The sequence below is a fragment of the Homo sapiens genome, chromosome 13 (assembly GCF_000001405.40).
Source record: "Homo sapiens chromosome 13, GRCh38.p14 Primary Assembly".
Classification (NCBI taxonomy): domain Eukaryota; kingdom Metazoa; phylum Chordata; class Mammalia; order Primates; family Hominidae; genus Homo; species Homo sapiens.
In genome coordinates, this window is record NC_000013.11 from 42,227,739 (window position 1) to 42,255,005 (window position 27,267).

The 27,267-nt window shown below is 37.4% G+C and overlaps 1 protein-coding gene across 8 annotated transcripts in view; it reads left to right on the forward strand.

Moving 5' to 3' along the window:
• The window catches only part of DGKH (diacylglycerol kinase eta), a 216,515-nt gene that overhangs the window by 187,669 nt on the left and 1,579 nt on the right, over positions 1-27,267 (forward strand). For 7 of the 8 annotated variants that reach the window (NR_123714.2, NM_001204504.3, NM_178009.5 and 4 more), the window contains one exon: positions 1,361-15,158. Coding sequence is in view for 6 of the 8 variants with exons in the window: in NM_178009.5 (NP_821077.1) it covers positions 1,361-1,450 (90 nt within the window). In the remaining 2 variants the exon portion in view is untranslated. Of the gene's footprint in view, positions 1-1,360; positions 15,159-24,670; positions 24,744-27,267 lie in introns of those variants that run through there. The other variant, NR_123715.2, reaches the window with a different exon arrangement.

The window sequence follows — 27,267 nt, forward strand, 5'->3', positions numbered from 1 at the left end:
GCTATGGAAAGAGTATTTTCCAGAAGGATTCATTACTGCTAAAGAACTCCAAGAGCTCTTAAAGGGTAAACGAGAGAAAGAGAGAGACAATGACCGAAGACTTAAACCAGTTTGATCTATTTCATTCAAAAGTTGAAAAATAAATAAATTATAAAACAGGGTGGATATTTGGAATCTTTAACTTCTCAGACAGGTTATTTTATAACCCTGTTTTTTAGGCCATTTTGGAAGTCATCTTTTTAATAATTTTCAAATATTTCAATTTTTTTGGAAGAAGTTGTTTGACTTCACATATTAGCAAACTGACTATGCCTTTTACTTAAAGAAACTAGGATTTGGAGGCCTTAACTGTTTCTTTTAGTTTTTCAGACAGTGAATAACTAGCAGTTATTCACCCTTGGATAGGTTTAATTTATTCCTGCAACAAATATTTGCAAGGTACTTGCTGTGCACACTCTGCAGTCATCATCTATTTCTGAAAGTTAAATATTGAATTCTTGGCACTTATAAGAAGAAGTTTCTTTAAGAAGCAAGAATAATAATTTTGAGAGAAAAGAGCCAATAGTGTTTTGAGGGAAAGCATCAACCAACAGATAATTATGTTTAAGTAATTTTTTACACACATACATTACAAAGTATAAAGACTAATTAAATTAAATATTCCTCTCAAATTGAAGCCTTGTAATGCAACTGCAAATGCATTTACAGTCCAAATTTATGTAGCAGATACTGGTATCTTTCTCTAGAATTAGGTCTCACTTTTAAATTTAATATTTTAGCACAAGAAATGTTGCCTTAGGACTAATTGTGGGTGCCCTGCTGTCCCGCATCATTTTTTTCTCAGAGATCCCAAAAGAGCCTTTGAGAGAGAGAGAGAGAGAGGGAGAGAGAGAAGAAAAAGAAAGAAAAGAAAGAAAGAAGAAAGGGAGAGAAAGAAAGAGAAAAGAAAGAGAGAGAGATGAAATAAAGAAAGAAAGAAAGAAAAGAAAGAAAGAGAAAGAAAGAAACTAAATTGGTTTTGACTTTTGAAGTCAAAAGCCACTGTGTATAATTATGAGAATGTCACAGTTAAGAGTTTATGTAGAATGTGATTTTTTTTTGTACCAGTTGGGAATTCTTTGGTGTCAGGTTATTTTTGTTTTATGAACTTATTTTTCTAGCTTTCACTTCCTGAATCACTGAATATAAACTAAAATGAATGAACTGAATGCTAATTATGTTTCTTGCTGGTTAAATATTTAATCCCCAATTTTCTATTTTCAATAAACTTTTTTCCTTTTCTTTCATTTTTAAAATTTTCTTTCTGTGTTTTTTCTTTCATTTTTAATTATTTCTACCTTTTTCTGTTCTTTTATTTTAGGATCTGGGGATACCGAAAGTGGGTCATGTGAAGCGAATTCTCCAGGGAATTAAAGAGCTTGGAAGGAGCACTCCACAGTCGGAGGTGTAATCATATTGGTGCTATTTCTTGGAAGAGAAGTTATTGCCACTTAATACAAAGTCCTTGGAAGCAAGTGGCTGTTCTTGTAGTTTTCTGCATAGATAAGTAAGCACCACTGAAGCACCTCTGTGGCTTGATATTTTGCTGTGGGTGAAATTTTGATTTGAGGTATTAGAAAATATTTTTGTGCCGAACAATACATTCCACAAAGCCATTTTCTTTTTGTGCAAACCTGACATGTTCAAATATATTCACAATGGTAATAAGGTAGGAGGAATCTGAGACGATTGCATTGTCTAAACAGTGGAATTGCAAAATGTTTACTTTCCATAGATCTGGTCTGATGGAATGTTCCTACTGTGCAACTGCATAACAATATGTGGTTAAAACTTCCTAGGTTTCATTACGGGGGGGCATTGGCCATTTTCTTAAAATCATAGGTTAGGAGACTAAAATATAAATTAAGTTGTGATTTGAATGTAGATTGGTATCACCTCCAACTCCTAGTGCTTAGTGGTCAAATATGTTGAAAACCTTTCCAATACTATGAATGAATGCAAATCTTAATGCACGATGTTCCTGCCTGAAATGTCTTTCTTTTTCTTGCATGTCACATCTAATACTGTAACACTTTAAATAGCTTTCATGTCAGTTTTAATGTTAATGGGATTTAATTTATTACTAAAGTACATTTTTGTTGGTTAAGGGCACTGCACTTTTCTGTTTTTTAATGTGGGATTTTGCGTAAATATTCTGTACCTAAGACTTTGTGAAAGTGTGTCTGTGCCATAATCAACAAATGATATACATCACATGCAAGTCAATTTTATTTCAATCTATCATAAGCAGTAGGCGTGCACGTTAAGAAAATTCTCTGGATATTTTCATAAAATTACATGCTCCCTTACCTGACAAAACTTGTTACAGCTTTCCAAACCAAAATTTCCACATTTTGTTTCTAATTTTTAATTTCAATTTAATAATTATTTAATATTCTATTTGAATTTATAATATAGTAAAGTGTTGATATCCAGGAATTCCCTGAGGTGTCAACTGAGATTTATATACTGACAGATAACCCAGACTCACCCGCTCTCTACAGTGACTTCTGACACGATCTTCCAAACAGAAGGGATTTAAATTTTTTCTTAAGGGCTTTATGTTGTTATTATTATTATCTCACTTAATTCTTAATTCTTATCAGGTGGATATTATTTTCCTTTTTCTAAACCACTGTACTTCAGTGTAGCTTATTATTAGAAGTCAACATTACAATGATCAAATCTTTGAAAGCCAAAGGCATACGTATCAAAAAGTCACAAAAATATCCTTAAATAAGCTTTCTTTAGCCATTATATACCAAAACATTAATTATAATATTTTAAAATTTGTATATAAGAGAAATAAACAGGGTACTGACTCAGTGGTGACAATTTTTATGAAGTAGCCTGCTAGGTGCTTAATAGATATATATACACACAGATATATACATATACACATATATGTGTATATATACATACATACACATATACATTTATATGTGTATATATATACCTACATACATATAACCTTGTGATATGGCATCATTGATATTTTCTAGACAATTATTTCCCCAGTGTTTAAAGAGAAATACTAATAGGCGAGCATTTAAAATGAACTATTGTCAGGCATATTATTTAATTACATCAAAGGAGTTTAACTGTTTGACACTTTACTCTTGTTTATAACTTGGGTATTTAACTACTAGTAAAAATCACAAAATTTTAATGTCTTTAAAATAAATGACCCTGAGGGATTCCTGACCAAGTATGTCTGACTATATATTTTACCTAAGTTGTAAATAAATGGAAATTTTCCAAAGACAGTTATATCAAGTAGTTTAAAAAGTCATGAGGCAGGGTGCTGTGGCTCACGCCTGTAATCCCAGCACTTCGGGAGGTTTAGGTGGGTAGATCACCGGAGGTCAGGAGTTCGAGACCAGCCTGACCAGTGTATGAAACCCCATCTCTACTAAAAATACAAAAATTAGCCGGGTGTGGTGGCACGCACCTGTAATCCCAGCTACTCGGGAGGCTGAGGCAGGAGAATTGCTTGAACCCAGGAGATGGAGGTTGCAGTGACTGAGATCACACCACTGCACTCTACTAGCCTGGGTGACAGAGCAAGACTCCCATCTCAATCTCAAAAAAAAATAGTCATGAATTATGCAATTATTCTAATTGTATCTGCACTTACGAAGTCAGAGGTCTCCTTTTTCAGTCCCTCTGATAGTCCCACCTAAGTGCTGTCCTGCTCCTGTGAACACTTTCCTGTGCAACCAAACAGGAGGTGCCAGGTTCCCAGAACTCTCTAACATTACAGATCTCTGTCCATCTTTACTAAAAAAAGGAAATGTGAGGGAAAGAAGGGGAAGAACTCTAGCATAAATAATGTATTAATATAAATATCTATATTGATTTTCACCCCCCATTCCCCTTTGCTAATAGAAAAGAGTCTAGCTATGATGTGTCCCAAATTTAAGAGTGTGATGTGAAGGACTGAATTTTTGTTTGTTCGTTTGGTGAGCTTTTCACTCGTAGGTGACATCTTTTGTATATGCTGTAAAGTCTCAGTTAATGGAATCCTACAGTGCATTTCTGGCTAGCTCGGTTGGTAGAGCGTGAGTCTCTTAATGGAATCCTTAATTAGCTAGAATTTTCCTGCAAATGGCTTTGGATGAGGGAAATTCTATAAAATGACAATTTGGATATACTTTTTGTTAAATGAGAGCAATTTTCTCTGTATGCTTTGTCTATGCATGGCTGTGCAGGGCCCAAATGACTTCACTGACACCTGTTTCCAGGAGGGGGTCTTCAGAGCCTCCTTAGGCTCTTGTCAGTATCATAAATAATTCCTCTTCTTATAGCGGATGGGGTTACCAAAAAAAATAAAAAGTAGGGAAGAGCTTCTCCATGGGATCAGATCACAGCTTTGGGGAGTGGGATGGGGCCTCTATGCTTTGATCTATGCATGAGCTGGGGTGAGAAGTTCCCACCTGCACCTGACTGCAATGACTGTAATGGCTGGAATTGTCACCTCTTCTCCCTGATAGGCTCTTCCTCACCTGGAGGATCGGGGCTGGTGGGAGGGCAGGGAAGGGGAGGCCATCAGCCAGAATGTATTTTCTTTCAGTTCCATTTCCTGAGGAAGAACTTGCTTTTAAAGGAGGAAAGGGACAGAATCAGACCTAAATAAAATTCCTGAGTATGCAATATTTCTCTTTAGTGTCTCTTCACCTCCCTTTCTGAGTTTCTTTCCTACATCCTGGCTCTTCATTTTCCCAATGCCCAATATAATCATGGTTGCTGAAATTCTCACTGCCTTCTACTTTCCTTTCCCCATCAATTAACCCACTACAAAATGACCCCTTTCATTTCTCGCTTAAGCATACATGGTGGGTCATTTAACTAAGTGTTAGGAAGAAAACAATTTAAAGACACTAATTTTACAGTTTGCGTTCTGTAAAAGGATACTTGCTGGATAATCTAAGTGAATTGATGGATTAGGTCATTTGGGATTGTGATATATATTGTTCTTGCTGACAAGAAATGACCCATGAATGTCTAGATCTATCCTGTCCAATATTGTAGCTACATGTGGCTATCTAAATTTAAATGTAATTTAATTAAGCCAGGCATAATGGCACAAGCCTGTAATTCCGGTGACTCAGGAGGCTTAGGAGGGAAGATGGCTTCAGGCCAGGAGTTTGAGACCAGCCTCGGCAACATAGTGAGACCCTGTCTCTGAAAAAAAATTTTTTTAACTAGCTAGGCATGGTGGCATGCGCCTGTAGTCCCAGCTATTCTGAAGGCTGAGGTGGGAGGATTGCTTGAGACCAGGAGTTCAAGGCTGCAGTGAGCCATGATCATGCTACTGCCCTCCAGCCTGGGCAGCAGAGCAAGACCCCTACTCTTTAAAAAAATTAATTTAATTAGAAACTCCATTTCTCAGTTGCACTAACTACATTTCAAGTGTTCAGTAACCATAGTGGACAGTGCAGATGTAGAAAATTTCCATCACTGCAAAAATTCTATTGGACAGCACTGGTGCAGATCATTGCTACTCAAAATGTGATCCATGGGCCAGCAGCATCAATATTACCTGGGAGCTTACAGAAATGCAGAATTTCAGGCCCACTGCAGATCTACCGAATCAAAATCTTCCTTTAGCAAAATTTCTCAAACGATTAGCACTGGCCTACATCCATTTTATCCTTCCTTAGCTATTAGGGATGTGAGGTCCGAGGGCTTCAAAAGGTCCCCGGAATAGCTTGTTCCTTCATCCACTGTGTCCTATTCATTCTTCAGCTAACTCCAGCAATGAGCTGAAACTCATTCATCACCCTTGCTGAGTTTTCTTCTCAATCCTTATTCCTAATTCTGGTTCTAGATGAGCCCTACCTACCCAGTGGTTGTATTTTTGTAGCCAGTGTGGGACACAGGAGATTGGCAGACCAACACAGCTAGCCTCTCTCTAGCCCTCCCTCCACCTCTAAGTCACTAACAATCCATGTTTGTTCAGTTTGTTGACATGTGGCATGTTCATTTGTTCACAACTTAATCACGGGGGACATTTCAGAAAAATGTGTACTAAGTTAAAACCATGTTTAGTCTCCTACAACTTGTACATTTTCATTTTCTCTTATCAGTAGATTGTCCTTGTTGACATAGCTCATGCATGAGGACACATAGCAGTACACACACATTGAATGAATTGTTAGTCATGCAAAAAAAGAAAAGGAATGAACCAAGATGATTGCAAGTTAATCTCATTTAAGCCCTCTAAAAAGGCATGCTTTGCTAGATTTAGATCTGTTTTCCTTACACTCACTTATCTTGATGTTCACATGGTTAATAATTCCTTAAAATAGTGCCTGAAGAATAATATTTCATATTCTTGACCCCCAAATAACAGTTTACTTAATTTTATAAGATTTTTCCCAATGAGACTTATTTTCAGGAATCCTTCTCTTAATAACTTTTACATATTGATATAATGTACCAAAACACAATTGCCTAGAGATGCTTTAGCTAATTTTTATTAATAAAGAGGACAATATTTTTGTCTTCATGGAACTTATTTTTAACAGGAATCAAGGAAGAAAATATTCATGCAGAGCTATGACTTAGAAAGTTATAGGGGCTGCCACTATACAGCACTTCTAAAGTAAAACATCTTCTATCTCCAACTGGGCTGTCAACATAGTGGACTTTCATGTTCTATGGATATGAATTCTTTAAGGATGTAGCCCTTAATTAAGCTGTAAAAACAATGCATCTCTCAACCTTGACATTTAGGATCTCTCCTGTCTGCCCCCTCTACGCCCCACTCCAATTAACTCATCCTACATCTCTCAGATGTAAGTTGGATAAGAGTGGGTTTGAAGTTTGGTAATACAAGTGGCAGTTTTAAAACACCAAATTCTTTAGATCAGCTGAAAAGAAGAGTGAGAATTGAAAATTCCTCCACTAGTAATTGTTAGCCAATAGAATAGCCTCCCAGAGCAGTCCCCACAGCACTTGGTTGCCATGGGTTTCTCTCCTCTCACTGCCTGCCCCAGTGCCATGATGTCTGGGGCTTGTCTCTTCTATGGCATCCCCTGATTGACTTTTGTATAGCAACCTCTGTGTCAAGTCAGTAATATGATGCCATTGTAATAGGAGGCCTTCCTAAAGAAGTAACTGCAACTTTTAAAACGTGATGATTATTGGTTTTTATAATACACAAAGCATTAATTTTTTCTTATCTTATTTTCTCTTTATTATTTCTTTCCAACTTTTGTTTGGAGACATTTATGTTAGAAGAAAAACTATAAAGTTTTATCATTGTAGAGAACAGAGAGATCAAAGACAGCTGGACTGTACCTGTTTGTGTAATTATTTCTGATATTTTTAGGAAAAGAAGTTTAACAGAGTAACTCAGACTGAGACTGTTAAACTCTGTTCATGATAAACTCCATATTACATAATATAGGTGAACAGATTAATTCCCTCCATGTAACTAAGATACTCTATTTACATTATTTATATACTCTCTTAGTTTTTTATGCACTTCCAAGTTTTAGTTGGAAAAATGAAAACCAAGCTACTACTTAAAAGTTATTAAAAACTTCACATAAAATATTTCATTTTAGCTACAAGTTATTCATTGCATAGGATTTTATAAATAGTCTGGGTATTTCATAGGAACTGCATTTCAAAAGTGAATTAACCAAACCTAAAAAAAGGGTTACTTTTAAAATGCATTAAAATAAAGAAGTTTCATATTCAGTTGATAAGGCCATTAAGGTAGGATAATGCAGTTACATATACAAACTAAAAAAGGAAAAAGAATATATTTTGTGGTCCTTAATGTTTGATTGCACTATTGTTTCCCACAGCTTAGCCGTATCTATTTCTGTATACCAAGTATTAAGCTGATATGTAGCTAAATATTTCTTACAGTTCTGGTAACTGGTAACTAGTGCTGTGAAAGGTTTTGGTATTGTAACATTCCCAGTTTTGTGAGTTATATATTGTATATTGAAGATGACTAGTAAATTCAAGTAATATATTTATCTACAGCTGGGAAAATATAATTATTTTCAAATCTTCAAGTAAGTTGTATCGAATGTTTTTCTTCCTCTTAAGTGAGATAAATCTCACTTTTATGTTAAAATGTCTATTTATACAACAGGTTTCTCCTTTTGCTGTTATTTTCATATTAAAATTTTTCTTATCTTTTTATATCAAAATAATTATGCTGGCTATTCAAACTGCCAAGATGTATTTTAGTTTGCAGGATTTTTGGCAGACAAAATATTTAATAACAAATATAAAAGCTTTGTATATTTTGTGGCATTAGGGGCAAGAATTTTACCTTTGGATTTCTCTATGTGAGGCAGTGCTGGTGTCAGCAAAGTCAGTAACAGACAGTATTACTTGTAATCATCAAAAGAAGGTTTCCACAAGTTGTATAAATCAGTGCATTTATTTATTATGTTGTGAAACTTAAGCTTTATATGAAATACATATTCTAGCTCTTTTCCTTTTTACTGCTGTTGTTTAGAGTGTGTAGTTCTGTTGATGATTTACTTATGTACTTGAAGTACTCATTTCTGTCAAACAGATGCCCAACTATTTTCCTTTTAAAAAACTGTATTCTTTACTGCAATAGATAGCGGAATAGTAATAGACACTTTGTTAAAAAAATAAGTTTCATGTTTAAAATAAATATTTTTTTAAAATATAAAGCCAAAATGAATTCACCAATATTAAGGATTTAATGTAGCCAAGGGATTCAGTGTGTTATATTTTGCCAATATGTATTTTATCTTCATGTCACAACTTATTTTCTGTAGCCAATTCTCAGTTTTAGTTGAAGAGAGATCTCAGTGATTGTACTGCCAATATGACATTCAAATGAACATTAGGAATCTTGAACCATGGCTGAGCGCTGTTGCTCAGGCCTGTAATCCCAGCACTTTGGAAAGCCGAGGGAGGTAGATCACCTGAGGTCAGGAGTTTGAGACCAGCCTGGCCAACTTAATACAAAAATTAGCCAGGTGTGGTGGTGGGTGCCTGTAATCCCAGCTACTCAGGAGGCTGAGGCAGGAGAATTGCTTGAACCCAGGAGGTGGAGGTTGCAGTGAGCCAAGATCTCGCCACTGCACTCCAGCCTGGGCGACAGAGCGAGACTCTGTCTCAGGGGGAAAAAAAAGAATTTTGAACCCCCCAAAATATCACATATCTAGCAGTTCTAGGTTCCAGGGTGGATATTTTTAACATATGTTTGCATTTGGTTCTGGGATAGTAACCGTTATGGATAATTGTTTGTTTCTGTCAAGTCGGTGAGATTTTAATTGTTTGAATTATTTCTATTTAAAATTACTCTCAATTTAACTGTTTAAAAAACTAAAAATTTAAAACATAATGGCACAACATACGACACAGAATAAAACACATGTTTTCAAGGAAGAAGAAAAAACTGTTTTGACTTAATGTGAAGCAGGGGTTTACCAAAGAAAATTGCTTTAATAAGCCCTAACTTTAACTGTTTTCTTCTATGTTACAGTGTTAGCGGTTGATGTATTGTGTACTGTTTAAGAACTCATAGGAGACTAATAATTAATTTACTATAATTTTAAAGGCAAAGAGTTTTATATTAATTTTACTGTTGCACAAGCAGTTATTGGAAGTGGGGGAAAAAAAGAAAACTGGTGAGAGAAATTACATGGAAATTATAGGAAAAAGGAACTTGAATTGGTAATTTGGCAAAGATTTGGGAACAAATAGTTTGAACATAGATTTCTTTCACCTTATATGATAGAAACACAAGGCACACGTGAGCTGTATAGTGTGCTGAGCACACCCCCAGAAAACAAAAAATATCACATTGATGAAGTCCGAGACTGTATCTAGATCTTAGCATAACTAGTGAATTCAGGGAGCACATCCTGCTGCTGAAATTGAGAAGTCAGTAAGAAGGTAGTTCAGATGACCTAATCATTCAAGACATTTGATGGAGTCCACACAAGGGTTTATGATGTGGGGCAAATATCTGTGCTTTCTCATCTCAGTGATTGATGTCTGGAGAACTAGTCAGACACACTTAGCTGGTTCCTATAGAAAAACACCAGTAAATGTGGATCAGACCATACCCTGCAGACCAAGGAGATTTTCTTAAACTTGCTAAGCCTTTCTTAAACTTGCCAAGTATTAGCAATGATAATTGCTAAATGGATTTTTTCCTTTCACTGAAACAACAAAACAATTATTGAAATTCACAATACCTAGAGATGGGAACATGGTTTAGGTTTATCCAGTTCTGTAACTGACTTTGGCATTGGCTCATTGTGTCCTTTCTACAAGTTATGTTTTGGTGACTTGGTGTCCCCAGTTAGAAATGGCACACAATATTATCAGTTGTTAGTACTTGGTAACGTTTCTTTTACTAAAGGAATTATATAAGTATGAATCATACCTAATTTTACAATTTCTTTCCCACGGTCATTTTGGATATAAAGATAGACTTCCCAGACAGTGAGGTTAGAAATTAGAAGTTCAAATTGATATCCCTGATGTTTAATTTAAAAATGAAAGTAAAGTTAAAATTAGTAGCATTTGTACCAGAGTAGATTATGGGTATTTTCATCTGTTATATTACATGTTCATATTATTCATTTTAGGATAGGCCAAAACTCACTTCTAAAATCTTCAAAAATTTTGAATAGTTTCATTTTTTCAATACTTAAGCCAAATGACAATTTTATAGATGTGAATATATGTTTTTTAAAGTTAAGTCCTTCATATCTTTTCTTAGTTTAACTCCCCAAAGAGGAAAATGTCTCTTTAAACCAGTAGTTAAAAAGATGGAGTATGTGATGTTCCTTTCTCTGTACTGAGTTCTGAATGTTTAATCCAGAGCATGGATCACTGACTGCGTTCTCTGACTGTGGAATGGTATTCTTTCATGCAAAGTACTTTCAAAACTTCCCATAAAGAAACTAAACTAGAGATTGTCTTTATTAATTAATGGAACTCTGGGTATGATTAAGGGAATTAAATTAGAAAGTAGAATAACCTAGTTAAAATCATTATATTAGTTATACATGAGAGTCAGTGAACGATGACTTGATTTTTACATGACATTTGAATTCTGTCACTATCTGATTCTTGACCTAAAGGTTTCTTTGCTAAATCTGATATTTATTATAGTATAATATGATAATTTGGAGCTCCTGTTGCATCTCACTGCCCCAAAAATGTTGGAATGCCATATGATACAGGGAAAAGATTGGAGTTCATCACCGTGGAATTTTGATCTGTCTTAATGACACAACTTAATTTTCATGATGATAGATCTCTGAATGATTAATCCAGAATGATTTGGTACAGTGACTGGAAGAAATTGTTTTTCTGGGAATTTGCTTCCCATAATGACCTGATATACAGGTGACCTTAGTATAATTGAAATTAATTATAATTTTAATTAGAACATGCTCTGTTTACAGATTATAATTGCGCAGCATTTTAAAAAAATATACATAATTATGAGGATGAGAGAATTGCAAACTTGAACAGTTCTTTTGTTTTCTCTCCTTTTACTTGAAAAGCTTTCAGAAAGCTTTTGAAAGATGACACAGTTTTCATAGCAACAGTATGCAAATTAGGTTTTTCTGCCAAGAAACTCATAAACTAAAGTATGGAATAACACAAATGCTTAATCTTAATCTTGGCTTTGGATTTTGTAAGCAAAAGCATTTTCTGCATCAATTTTTTTCAGTATGCAGTTGCATATTTCATTTTTTGATTATGTCAAAAGTTGAATTCTCATTTTATGCTGTGTTTCTCATTAGTTGCAGTAAAGTGTTGATTTCATTGCTGCCTTTCAGGCCTTCATCATACAAACCCTCACCATTTTTCACTCCTGTGCTTTTGCCATAGGTTTTTTTTTGTTTTTGGTTTTTTTCCAGCAACTAGTTTTTCTACTTTCACTCTTTCCCACCAGAGTGGTCTCTCTAAAACAAATTTGCTAAAGTTCTTAAGTAGGCTCTTTTTTCTCTAAATTACAGAATAGCAAACTAACTCCTAAGCAAGATGAGTCAGTGTCTATGACCTTGCCTCTTTCTTCCTTTTTAGTATCCTCACCAACCTTCCCTCTGTTGACTTTTGTAATCCAGGAATTTGGAACTACTTATGACTTAGTGCCTTGGCATAATCACATGCCATAGATGAACATGTTCAAGACTCAGTTCAAATTTAACTTTCTGTGAAGCCCTACCTGACTTCCCTAGGCAGGTATTTTCTCCATGCCTATAGTATATTGAAACTTTTTCTGTTAAAATAACATAACATTTCAATTACACACACACAACCTGTCTCTTCCACTGAACTTCTCTCTCCCCCTTTGTATTCTCAGTGTCTAGCTACACATAATAGGACTTTGATAAATATTTTTGAATGAAGGTAATAGAAAACCCGAACTTCTCTATATTTGTGTACTTTCACAAACAAAGGCTTAGAATTCCACATGAAAGTCCACATGAGGTAAGTGTGCATTCATGAGCATGTGTGCACTCTGGGCAAACCAACAGAAGATAAACAGCAAGGAAGAGCAGTTGTTTTGTGAAAAATAATCATCTGTTAGCTGTAAATCAGAAATATTGGCCAAATCAGAATTCTTGTTTCTAAAATGAGGCTTCTAAAATTTTCACATAACTGCCAAACTCTTATTTGTAATTCTTAAATATGCCCTAAAGATCATCTTTCTCTTTTATAGACATTTAGTGTATACAGTCCACATAAATACATATACTGATTACCTACAGACAATAATGAGACTTCAGAAAGAATCAAAAGCAATAGTGATGGTGGAATTTTTAAATAATATTCAGCTGGGGGGAAATAGACTGAGTTTGTGTGATTTCAGGTTATTTAGAGTTATTAATGTAAACATAAGAAGGCTTGTGACTCTTATCACCCTCTATAGAATATAAAGACTAAAAATAAAAACTATTACCTCTGGGCCTGTTTTTCTTTGGGATTAGATAAAGCCTTTCTACCATATCACCAAATACTCATAAAGGCTAACACAGAAAGCTTTTCCAAGTTAATAATTTCTAAAATTAAATATCAGGGCCAGGTGTGGTGGCTGACACCTGTAATCCCAGCACTTTGGGAGGCCGAAGTGGGTGGATTACCTGAGGTCAGGAGCTCGAGACAAGTCAACATGGTGAAACCTCATCTCTGCTAAAAATACAAAAACTAGCCAGGCATGGTGATGCACACCTGTAATCCCAGCTACTCGGGAGGCTGAGGCAGGAGAATTGCTTGAACCCAGGAGGCGGAGGTTGCAGTGAGCTGAGATTGCACCACTGCACTCCAGCCTGGGCGACAGAGTGAGACTCTGTCTCAAAAAAAAGAAAAAAAATCAAAATAATTGTAATTAACTGAAATGCCCTGTTCCTTCATTCACTTGATAGACTTTTCTACCTGCTCTATACTTGGCACTCAATTAGATTCTGGGGATACAGATAAAATAAGACAAAGCTCCCATCTGGTAGAGTCCAAGTTTGTTTTCACAGTTATTTTTCCACAGTCTGTTTAAGGTATTAGGAGGACTTTTATAAACCGAGTGTTTTTCAGGTTACTTCAGAGAGGAGTCTCCTTCCACCCAAAAAAACTAACCAAATTATTTTATCATAAAGAGGTAATCCCATTTTTATGTCCACAATTTTTACATTTTTGTATCAGCCACCAATAATTTTGACTGTTTTGTCAAGTACATATTTCATCAATCCTATTTCCACAGCCGTACATGTGATCCCAGTGACTGATAGATCTGTAGAATGTGAACTCACATTTAAAGTTTATTTTGGGAAGGCATATATGCCTTTTGATGACACACACACCAAAATATATAAGAGCTGTGCATGGTAAACCCACAGTAGAAGGGAAAAAGTAATGCTTTCTGGTATACTTCAGAGGCTCCATTTGAAGATGTGCGTTGATGTTTCCTTGATTATTTTGAATGAGGAGTAGGCGGTAATATTTAACAGGTAGCATACGTATCTAAGCATATAGTAAATATTACTAGTACTTGTGTGCCATGAGGCACTAATACATAGGTGAAACAAAAATATTTTTAGTTCTAAAAAATTCTCTAGATATTTATGGATGGTTAGGCAATAGGGTTCCTTCATGAGAAGGAAAAAACTGTATCTTTATTGTCAGTAAGTGTGGAAAAAAACCCGACTTGTATGTGTATTCACAGTTTGATAGGCATATTTTGAAGTCATTGTTTTCCATCAGTATTAAGTATCATCCATTTCTATGTTCTCTAGCAAAAGAAAATTCTTAGTGTGATACAGCTTTACTCTTTGTTTGACTTTGTACAAGGTCCACAAAAGGAGGAGGCTCAAAAGATTGGACACTTTACCCTGACATTCAGCACATTCATTTTATCTTTCGATAAAGATAACCAGAAATCATTTGCCTCTTGTTTATTATCATGTTGAAAACACAACAGTATAGTTCCTTTTGTCCCTTACATTGGAAAAGGTATTTTAAATTTAGCCTTGCCGTATTATTTATAGTTAGGAATTTACTACATTTTGGTAGTCTGTTTTGAAACTAAGCACTTGTGTCTGAAAGATGCAGATAATATCTATCTATTTATTACACAGTGGGCTCTGTTTGCTGCAGAAAAGAGTGAAACTTTTAACTGCTTAGCACACTTGCCAGTGAAATATACCTGACAGAGCAGAGGTTATAACTTTGGCTCTAATTACTTTTAGTAATGGTAAGACAACGTGAGTTTTGTTTGTTTACATGCTGTTTACAATGGCATAATTTTAAAAATATATACAATTGAGATATTTATTGCCTACTATTTTAAAGATGTTTTATGTGTTTTCACCTTTGGAATATATTGTTACATTTCCTTGTACAGATAATTTTGGTGGCTTTGTTAATGTAGCTAGTAATTTTTATGACTACTAAGTGACCAGTTTTCGGTGCCTTTTATTGTGGGATGCATGATTATGTATTTATTGTACGGAAGTCACTGACGTGTGTATTTTTGTACTTTGCTGAAAGTAATGGTTGATCCTGATGTACATGATGATGAAAGACATCTTTCCCAAAGGGCACTGCCTTGAGATCATCCTTCTCAAATAAAAAGAATGCATTTGAAGAAAGTGTGAAGTCTACGTTGTTTCTGGTGGGAAATCTTTTTTAAAATTAAACTTTTAATTTTGAGACAATTGTAGATTCACATGCAGTTGTAAAAAATAATGCAGAGAGAGCTCGTGTACCCTTTACCCATTTCCCCTCCAAAGGTAACATCTTGCAAAGCTGTAGTACAGTATCACAACCAGGACATTGAGATGCATAAGGTCACAATGCTGAACAGTTCTATCACCACAAGGACCCGTAATACAGATCCCTCATGTTTCCCTTTTATAGGCATACCTACTTCCCTCTTGCCCTCACACACTTCTTAACCCCGGGCAACCACTTCTATACTTTTATCATTTCAAGAATATTACATAAATGGAATCATACAGTATGCGATTTTTTTTCACTTTAGAATAATTCCCTGGAGATTCATCTAAATTGTGTGTATTGATAGTTCATTTCTTCTTATTGCTGAGTAGTCTCGCATCTGGTGAAGGAATTCTTGATTGTAAGAACATAATTTGGTTTGCATTTATAGTAATGATTCCTTAAAGTTCACCTCCCCCAAAAAACCACTCGTTAAAAGTCCAGTGCATGACAAGTGTTGTCTCTAGTGGTAATGATCTGTGAATAGCCCTTTAAAATCACTGTCTGGTGAGGAAGAAAGAGTGTTGTAACACAGAGTGTTATGTGCAGTGATAAAAAATATGCCACCAAGTTTAGGGGAGGACAAAGGAAGGGCAGAGATAGAGAAAGTTCAGGGGCACCTTCCTGGATAGGGGACATTAAGTCGAATCTTACATCAGTTAGCCAGGTGAAGTATGTGTGTGAGAAAGGCAGAGAGGACAGTGCAAGCAAAGATAGGCAAGCAGCATGGAGGGTAAAACATGCTGTTGCTGAAACATAAGGGAGAGATAGAAGGTGGAACTGGAGTAGGCAAGGTCAGAACTAAGCAATCCGGTTTGAGCCCTGGCCAAATCCGTGACTTCTGTTGGTGGGATTGACGTGAAGAGAGCAGAGGACAAGGAGATCGGTTAGAGGTTATGAAAGAAGTTTGAGTGAGAAATAGCAAGGGACTTCCTTAGTGCAGTTTTAGTGGAAATGGAAAGGAGGGAACAGATCTCAGAAATACTCAGGTGTAAATGGACTGTACTTGAGATTGGCTGTGGATGGATGAGGGGAGAGAAGAAACATAACAAATCCCAGGTTTCTGATAACTGAAGAGGGAAGCATGAAATTCAAGTTCAGACTCAGCCATCATGGTTTCAAGGTGACTGTCTATGGGATACATCATGTTGGAGAGAGGTACGGGAGGGAAATACAGATCTGAGAGTCATTGCCATATGGGCTGAAACCTTTGGAGAAGATGAAGTTATCCAGAAAGATCCTTAGGAACTTAGAAAAGGAGCCCCACAGAACTGGGATTCAGACCTCTGAGAAGGGGGCGCTCTCCCGATGGTGGTTCTAGGAATGCCAGAGGAAGAAGCCGGAGAATGAATGAAGCCACCTGCCTCTGCCAGGGTGAGAACCAGTGCCCCTGAGACACTGGCAGCAACAGTGAGCAAAACAGAAAGGGCAAGTCCTCTTTTCTTCTGCAGGAAAGCAGCTGGCAAAGCAGCAGTGCTGATCGCAGAGCCCAATGCCAGCATCACTGAGCAGAGTGTCAGGAGTGTATCTAGCACTGAGTAACAATAATCCAGTAGTTTGCCACTAAGTCTAACAAGGCGCTCTTAAGAACAACATACTGGCCGGGCGCGGTGGCTCACGCCTGTAATCCCAGCACTTTGGGAGGCCGAGGCGGGCGGATCACGAGGTCAGGAGATCGAGACCATCCTGGCTAAAACGGGGAAACCCCGTCTCTACTAAAAATACAAAAAATTAGCCGGGCGTAGTGGCGGGCGCCTGTAGTCCCAGCTACTTGGGAGGCTGAGGCAGGAGAATGGCGTGAACCCGGGAGGCGGAGCTTGCAGTGAGCCGAGATCCCGCCACTGCACTCCAGCCTGGGCGACAGAGCGAGACTCCGTCTCAAAAAAAAAAAAAAAAAAAAAAAAAAAAAAAGAACAACATACACAATCTTATCACCTTCAGGGGAAAGTGGGGCAAGAAGCTGACCCAGAAGGAATGCTTGAGGGACTGGAGGATTCTTAGCTTGGAAAAGAGAACATCCAGGGGCAGGGATTGGGGGTAGAGGTGGGAAATGAAGTTGGACTTAAGAACTGCCTTCAGATATCTGAGGGACTGTGATGGAGAAGTGGGCTTGCATTAGTTCTAAATGAGACAAGCAAGTGAAATTGACAGCAAAAACTGATTATCTAAAGATGCACTGGAGTATCTCATAAAATGAGATCTCCTTTGATAGAGAGATTCAAACAGAGGCTACCAACACTTGACGGTTGTTGACCCTTGAGAATGTGAACTCCATGAGGGAAAGGATTTTTTTCATGACGCTATCCCAATGCACGGAATAGTGGTTAGCATGTGGTATGTGCACATTATCTATTTGTTGAATAAATCAGAAGTAATTTAAGCATCAGATCAGAGGACCAGATCATCTTGAGGTCTCTTTCACCTATAGATTGAATGCAATTGATCATATGTAAAGGCAAAATATGCAGAGTCCTCACTGAATTAGGAAATAAATGAACCAGAATTTAAACTCCAAATAAGTTGGTTATCCACACCCTTTAAAAGCAGGTCACTACTAACCAATACTTTTGTTTTTTTTTTGAAATGGAGTCTCACTCTGTTTCCCAGGCTGGAGTGCAGTGGTGTGATCTTGGCTCACTGCAACCACCGCCTCCCAGGTTCAAGGGATTCTCCTGCCTCAGCCTCCCAAGTAGCTAGGACTACAGGCACGCGCCAACACACCTGGCTAATTTTTTAATTTTAGTAGAGACAAGTTTTCACCATATTGGCCAGGCTGGTCTCGAACCCCTGACCTCATGATCCGCCTGCCTCAGCCTCCCAAAGTGCTGGGATTACAGGTGTGAGCCATCTACATCATGACCCTGAGGCACCGCCTGATTCTGAAGGGCTAGCTGAATCATCATATTAAACTACTTTTATTTTAAAATGCTAATTGTATTATATATCCTAATTCTTTAAAAAGTAGCAGTGTGTTTACATAGCCATAACTCTTGGCAGCTAATGGGTTATAGTACTAGCAAGTTAGAATTTTCACCAGGAAATCTAAATACAATAGATTTTTCTGATGTGGAAATCAAGAATCATCCAAGCAATCCAAGGATCTGAACCCCATCTTTCCTGTCCTACTGTGGCCTTGGTGTTTGTCTCCATAAGTTCTTGTGCCACCACCAGTACGTTCACAAAATGTAACAATTGGTGGTATGGTTGGCAACATAATGGAGCTTGTCCCAAAGCAAGCCTGGGATGGTGATACCAGCCGCAAGAATGAGAGACTACAAGGCTGGGCGTGGTGGCTCGCACCTGTAATCCCTGCAGTTTGGGAGGCCAAGGGAGGAGGATCGCTTGAGCCCAGGAGTAGTTTGAGACCAGCCCAGGCAACATAGTGAGGCCTCATCTCTATTAAAAAAAAGAGAGAGAGAATACAGGCAAATATATAGTGTCATAGCAGTGTATAACACTTCTTAGTTTGAGGTACTATATCTACATTTAATCCTCATACCAACCCCGTGAGTTTATTATTAGCCCCATTTGAAACACCCTCACACCCTTGGAGTTGGGTCTACTTCTGGCAACGACATTTTGGATGAATGTGGGCATTGGAGCACTACCCTTTCTTAGAGGAGCGATACTGACTTATCGAATAAAAGGCAGCACAAGAATACAGTGAGTCAGGTAAAGTATGCTCTCCACATAGCTTCTCTCCCACGCAGGCCTCCCGCGCACCCTAATCCATGCTGCTGTATCACCCCCCGCAACTGAGAGGAAGGCCACAAATGAAAGTGATCTGAGATCTCGTTTAATTTGTTTCAAGCTTTTTTTGACTGCTCCCCATGGTGAGAAATACATTTTCCCCAATATACATAAATATATATGAATGTGTGTGTGTATATACACACACATGCAGTCATGTGCTTTATAACTGTTTCAGATAACAGTGGACCACATATATGACCACACAGATATCCGTGGTCCCACAAGATTATAATGAAGCTGAAAACTTCCTGTCGCCCAGTTACCTCATAGCCATCACAACATTGTAGTACAACACATTACTCTCATGTTTGTGGTGTAAACAAACCTACTCTGCTGCCAGTCATATTAAAGTACCATATAACACACACAATTACATACAATACATAATACTTAATGATGACAGTCAATGAATATGTTACTGATTGGTTTATACATTTCCTACACTATGTATACTTTTTTTTTTTTTTTTTTTTGAGACAGTCTTGCTCTGTTGGTCCAGGCTGGAATACAATGGCATGATCTCGACTCACGGCAACCTGTGCCTCCTGGGTTCAAGCAATCCTCCTGCCTCTGCCTCCCAAGTAGCTGGGACTACCAGTGTGCGCCACCATGCCCTGCTAATTTTTGTATTTTTAGTAGAGACGGGGTTTCACCATGTTTGCCAGGCTGGTCTCGAACTCCTGATCTCAAGCAATCCGCCTGCCTTGGCCTCCCAAAGTGCTGGGATTACAGGCGTGAGCCACTGTGCCCAGATCTACACTTTTTATCATTATATTAGAGGGTACTCCTACTTATTGAAAGAAAAAAAAGTTAACTATGAAACAGCCTCAGGCAGTTCCTTCAGGAGGCATTGTTATCATAGGAGATGACAGCTTCATGCATGTTTTTGTTCTGAAGACCTTCCAGTGGGACAAAATGTGTAGGTGGAAGACAGTGATACTGATGATCCTGAAACTGTGTAGGCCTAGGTTAATGTGTTTTGTGGTTTAGGTTTTTTTTAAAAAAGTTTAAAAAGTAAAAAAGTTAAAAACAAAAACAATTTTAATAGAAAAATGCTTATGGATTAAGGATATAAAGAAAAAGCTTTTGTATAACTATATGTTTGTGTTTTAATCTAAGTGTTAGTACAAAAGAGTCAAAAAGTTAAAAGAAGTTTACAAAGTAAAAATGTTTCAGTAAGCTAATATTTATTATTGAAGAAAGAAAAATATTTTAATAAATTCAGTTTAGCCTGTGTACAGTGTTTGTAAAGTCTACAGTAGTGCAAAGTAATGCCCCAGGCCTTCACATTCACTCGCCATTCACTCACTGACTCACCCAAGGCAACTTCCAGTCCTATAAGCTCCATTCATGAATTAAGTGTCCTATACAGATGTACCTTTAGCCTGTAATCCCAGCACTTTGGGAGGCCCAGGCAGGCCTATCATTTGAGGCCAGGAGTTCGAGACCAGCATGGCCAACATAGTGAAACCCTGTGTCTACCAAAAACATAAAAATTAGCTGGACATGGTGGCACATGCCTGTAATCCCAGCTACTCGGGAGGCTGAGGCAGGAGAATCGTCTGAACCCGGGAGGCAGAGGTTGCTTGCAGTGACCTGAGACGGGGCCACTGCACTCCAGCCTGGGTAACAGAGCGAGACACCGTCTCAAAAAAATATATATATAATATAGATATACATAAGTATAATATATAATTTATATATAATATTATATATATAATTTATAATTAAATAATATATATTTATGCAATTATTTAATAATTATTTAAATTATATTGTTTAATATTTAATATAAATATAAAATAATTTATAATTTCAATGTAATAATTTATATAATACATAATATATATTATTTGTAATATATAATTATGATATATATTTATATTATATTTTATATTTTTACTGTAGATATCTTTTATATCTTTACCGTACCTTTTCTCTGTTTAGATATGTTTAGATACACAAATACCATTTTATTACAATTGCCTGCAGCATTCAGTACACTAACATGCTATACAGGTTTGTAGCCTAGAAGCAACAGGCTATATCATATAGCTTAGGTGTGTAGTAGGCTATCCCATCTAGGTTTGTGTCAGTACAATGTGATGTTCACACAATGAAAAAAATCACCTAGCAATGCATATCTGAGAATGTGTCCCCGTTAGGTGATGCGTGACTGTGCATACACACACATATATACATGATATATAAGCAGATATGTTTATATATCACAAGTTTAACAAAATAGCACTTATGTACATGCAATATAGCTTAATATTTTCTATTCTATTTTGTTTTAAAAAAATTACTGATTGTGGCGGGCACAGTGGCTCATGCCTGTAATCCCAGCATGTTGAGAGGCCAAGGTAGGTGGATGGCTTGAGCCCAGGAGTTCCAGACCAGCCTGGGCAACTTGCAGAAACTCAGCCTCTACAAAAAATACAAAGATTAGCTCTGCTTGGTGGCGCATGCCTGTAGTCCCAGCTACTAGAGAGGCTAAGGTGGGAGGACCGATTGAGCCCGGGAGGACCAATTGAGCCTGGGAGGATGGAGTGAGCCCGGCCCTCTTGGTTGCAGTGAGCCAAGATCATGCCACTGCACTCCTGCCTGGGCACCAGAGCGAGACTCTGTCTCCAAACAAACAAACAAACAAACAAAAATACTGATTGTAAACAAAAATACTGATTGCAACCTATTAAACTGATTTTGTAACCCACTAATGAGAAGGTCAGCAAACTTTTTACGTAAAGGGCCAGATAGTAATATTTTCAGCTTTGCAGGACACGTGGTCTCTGTCAGGACTATTCTACTCTGCCAATGTGGCAGGAAAGCAGCCACAAACGATATGTAAATGAATGGGCATGGTTGGGTCCCAATAAAACATTATTTACAAAAACAGATGTTGGCACATCCCTACACTAATAGGTCATAGCCCACAGTATTAATTTTTAAAACCACAGAGCTAGTTCAACAGTTTCCAATGATTAGCTGAATGTCTAAGAATCATTTGCAGATTATGTTTTAAAAAAGTTTTCAGGAACCACCCTGGACCTACACAACTAGAATCTCTTGGGAAGGGGTTTGGGACACCAACATTTGAATCACTCTCCTTCATTGATTCTTACCTGTGGCCAGGATTAGGGATCACTGATTTGATCCAGCCTCCTCATTCACTCCAGCTCCAGTTTTTTTGTTTTTTTGTTTTTTTTTTTTAGATGGAGTCTTGCTCTGTTGCCCAGGCTGGAGTGCAGTGGCGCGATCTGGGCTCACTGCAACCTCCGCCTCTCGGGTTCAAGCGATTCTCCTGCCTCAGCCTCCCGAGTAGCTGGGACTACAGGCACATGCCACCACACCTAGCTAATTTTTGTGTTTTTAGTAGAGATGGGGCTTCACCATGTTAGCCAGGATGGTCTCGATCTCCTGACCTCCTGATCCACCCGCCTCGGCCTCCCAAAGTGCTGGGATTATAGGCATGAGCCCCCACGACCGGCCACTCCAGCTCCTATTTAAAAAAAAAAAAGTTTATAATTAACACGTAATTGTACATTTATAGGGTACAATGTGATACTTCAATACCTGTATACATTGTATAATGATCAAATCAGGATAGTTAACATGTCCATCACCTCGAACCTTTATCATTTCTTGATGGTAATAACTTTCAAGATAACTAGAAAAGAGGATCTTGAATGCTATCACCAGCCCCTATTTTACAAATAATAAACTGAAGCCTTGAAAAGCTATGTTCTGGGCTACAAACAATTGTCAATAATGTTGAAGAACCTGGGTCATACAAACTGGGGACTCTTACTACAGTGCAGTCACATTATAAATTAATAACAAAAAATCTGAAACAGAACATAATACTCACTCTTACAATTTGTTCAATACATATCCCTGCGGCACTTCAGCAGAAAGTGACAACCAATTAAAGGACAGAAGCCAGTGCCCATTAAAGTGATAATAAGAATATTAAGCATCTCATGGCTACTATAAAAGGTTGTTCAGCCTAAAGGCATAAATGTCTAGAAGCTCATTACTGCATGATAACAAATTTTCAACCAACAAAAAACACTAATATGTAGCACTCTAATTAGCTTAATTATGATTTCATGAGCTATGCAATTTCAATGGGAAATGATATTATTAAAGCATATCGGCTGATTTGAAAGTGATTACAGCATGCTGGCAATATGTTTAATGTTGTTTTGGCCTGCAGTAATCTTAATTTTAAAAGTAAAATTTGGTCTCTATTTTCATCAAGATAGAAATTATCTTGATACAGACTTTATATATGAACTTTAATATATTGAAAGAATAAAATGGGTAAAAATAGGCACAAATAAAAATTAAAAGTTAAAAACCGAGATTAGTGAAAAATTTATTGTAAAGCTCTGTGAATTTAAATATTTGTATTGGCCGGGCACAGTGGCTCACACCTGTAATCTCAACACTTCATGAGGCTGTGGTGGGCATATCGCTTGAGCCCAGGAGTTCAAGACCAGCGTGGGCAACATGGCAAAACACCGTCTGTACTGAAAATACAAAAATTACCTGGGCATGGTGACATGTGCCTGTAGTCCCAGCTACTTGGGAGTCTGAGGTGGGAGGATCAATTGAGTCCCTGTCTGAAAAAATACATATATTTATTTATTTATTTTATATCTATATTCCTTTTATACCCACTCATGTCTGTTCTGCAGTCTCTGATAACTTCATCCCTTTGGTATTAACTGAAATCACTTCTTCCCTCTGTGTATTGAGTCAAAATGAAAGGAACGCTTCCAAGCTCTCCTCTGATTTCTCATCCTTGTCCATTTTTCATCCTCCACACACTACATACAGATATGCACACCTGTGAACACATGCATCACCCTGCATTATATCCCTCCCATCCTCTCCACCTCCACTACCACCTCGTATTCACCTGTGAACCTTCTACTCATCCATAAAGTCTCACGGGGACCCTCAACAGAATCTTTCAAAACTCACCAAGAGTGTATAATGCTTAGATATTTTCATCTCTATTCCCATTACAGCGTGTTCCCATTACATACCCCCCACTAAAGCAATTATATTGCATCATAATTATTAACACAGTTATCTTTCCACTTAATTAGCTTTTGCTTGAGAACAGAGAGCATGTATTATTCATCCTGTCCTCATCACGCTGCACAAAGTTTGGTTCCTAGCTGGTCTTCAAAAAATGTCCTTTGAATGGGTGAGGAGAGTATTTCACTTGGAATATTGTTTAAAACTCTTAACCTCTGTGGTCACAAGTGATATTACACTGCCTTTGTCTAGTTTGGGAGCCAAGGTTACAGTAGGTCATAAAATGAAAGAGCTTTTCCTTTTTTTTTTTTCCCCAATCTGTGATGAATTTGTGTAAGAACAGAATTACCTGTTCTTTGAATGTATGGTAGAATTATCTGTAAAACTGTCCAGTAATAGTGGCAATCTTTTCTTTGGGTATGTTTTATTTTTCTGACTTCTTGGGTTGGATGTTTAATACAGTGTCTTTACTAATAAAAGCATGTAGAATTGTCTATTTTTCTGTAAGTACTACTTTAGCTGCATCCCGTAAGTTTTCTTTAAACATTTTTCAAAATAGAATTTTATTCTATTTTTTTAGAGGATATATATGAGTTCAAGATGGTCACCTGCTTCTCTAGGAATCCAAGGGACAACTTCAATTCCTTTAGGAGGTAAGTGGCCTGAGACTCCACACGGCCTATATCCCAAGCGAATGAATTGGTACTTAGGAAGTCCAGGCAGAATCTCAGTGAGATATCCTAGACCAGCATGGTGGAAGCAGGAAAGAGCCACAGAATAGGGATCCCATGGATGCTCAGGCTTGAAGGTAAGCTCCCCAGACACTAAACCTGCAATTGCACGCTAATTCTATATGCTAAATTCCACTGCGCAGAGACCTATGGCAACTGAGTCGGTTGGGGAAGGTCTCATGCATCCTACAACTTTTTTTTTTTTTGAGACAGAGTCTTGATCTGTCACCCAGGCTAGAGTGCAGTAGTGCGATCTCAGCTCACTACAACTTCCACCTCCCAGGTTCAAGCGATTCTTCTGCCTCAGCCTCCCAAGGAGCTAGGATTACAGGTGCCCACCACCATGCCTGGCTAATTTTTGTATTTTTAGTAGAGACAGGGTATCACTATGTTGGCCAGGTTGGTCTTGACCGGCCTCCTACAACTTTTAATAGGTAGTCTCATTATTATCCAATTTCAAGCATTTTATAATTGACTTTATAATTTCTTTGATTCACAAGATTTTAGTAAATGTGTTAAAGGCAGCTTTCTACCCTAAAGTTGAAGGTGTGGCATGGGTTAATTTCTGGTTCACCTTTATGCTGAGTGCTATAGTCTAGTTTGTGTCCCCCTAAAATTCACATGTTGAAACCTAATCCCCAAGGTAATGGTATTGGCAGGGGGATCTTTGGGAAGTGATTAGGTCATGAGAATGGAGTCCTCGAATGGGATTAATGCCCTTATAATAGAGGATTCAGAGAGCTCCCTTAACCCTTCCACCATGTGCGGACACAGCAAGCAGAGGCCATCCAGGAACCAGGAAGCAAAACCTCATCAGACACTGAATCAGCCATTGCCTTGATCTTGGACTTCTCAGCTTCCAGAGCTGAAAGTGAAATGAATGTTTCTTATTTATGAAAGAAATGTTTATTTATTTTATAAAAGAAATATTTCTTACGTATAAACTAGCTAGTCTATGGTATTTTGCTATAGCAGCCTAAATGAACTAAGACACTTCAGGTGCTGCCCTTTGGTGTTTTAGCTTAGCGGGGAGATTTCCTGTGAAAGTCCCCACTTAGAGTTGGTACTAGCTTGACTATCTTTCTCCTAAGCTCCTGGGAATAATAAAAATAACGCTTGAATTTAGCCATTGTGGTAAATGCCTTCAGATAAAATCTGATTCTGTGATAAGCTTAACTTTCTAGGTTCTTGCCTTCATTTTGTTTTATCCTGCATTTGCAGTTATTTACAAAGGAAAGGTGGTACAAATCTGCACCGTTCAATATGGTAGCCACTGGCTACATGTGTCTATTGAACATATGAAATGTAGCTCCTCTGAATTTTCTAAATACCCATTGGATTTTGCAACTTAGTATGAAAAAAAGAATGTAAAATGCCCCCATAATAATGTTATATTGTTCACATAGGCAGCCTCAAAATTGGGAGTGGGTTACCAAAAAAAAAAAAAAAAGTATATTAATTGCTTAAAGCCCAGAATTTATTACCTCTTAAGATGTTTCTGGTGGGAGAGTATATTGGTGTAGCATTTTGGGGAAAGAAATTGGCAACATAAATTAAAATTATCTTTCTACCCTAATAAGATTCAGTAATTCCACTCTTAGAATCTATCCCTTGAAAATAAATAGAGGAATGTTCAAAATGTATGCATAAGTATGTTAATCACAGTGTGGCATGAGATAGTGAAATACTGAGAACAATCTAAATGCCAGATGATAGGGACATGTTCATACAAATCATGATGCATTTATTTTGTGGGATACAAAGCAGCTTAAAACAATGGATATATGGCCAGGTGTGGTGGCTCATGCCTGTAATCCCAGCACTTTGGGAGGCTGAGGCAGATCACCTGATCACCTGAGGTCAGGAGTTCAAGACCAGCCTGGCCAACATGGTGATACCCTGTCCCTACTGAAAATACAAAAAATTAGCCAGGCATGGTGGCGGGTGCCTATAATCCCAGCTACGTGGGAGGCTGAGGCAGGAGAATCACTTGAACCTGGGAGGTGGAGGTTACAGTGAGCCAAGATCATGCCATTGCACTCCACTAGGCAACAAAAGCAAAGCTCCGTCAGAAAAAAAAAAAAAAAGAATGTTATATAGTTATACCTTCCTTGTGTTTGGCATGGAAACAATATAACGTATTAAGTAATAAACTAAATTGAAGGCAGTATATATGCTTTATAATCCTATTTTGAATTATACATATGTGTACGTATGTGTGTATATACTAATATAAATTCTGGATGAATGTTCAATGAAATGTTTCGTGATGATTTCTACATAGAATTAGAGATCATTTTCAAATGATTTTGCCATCTTTATGCATTTCTTTTTTTAAAATAATGAATGTGATGCTTTCATAGAAAAAGCAATGATGTTATTTTTGGCATTTTTATTAATAAAAGATTCTTACATTGCTAGACAAAAATTTTTATATTGACTAATT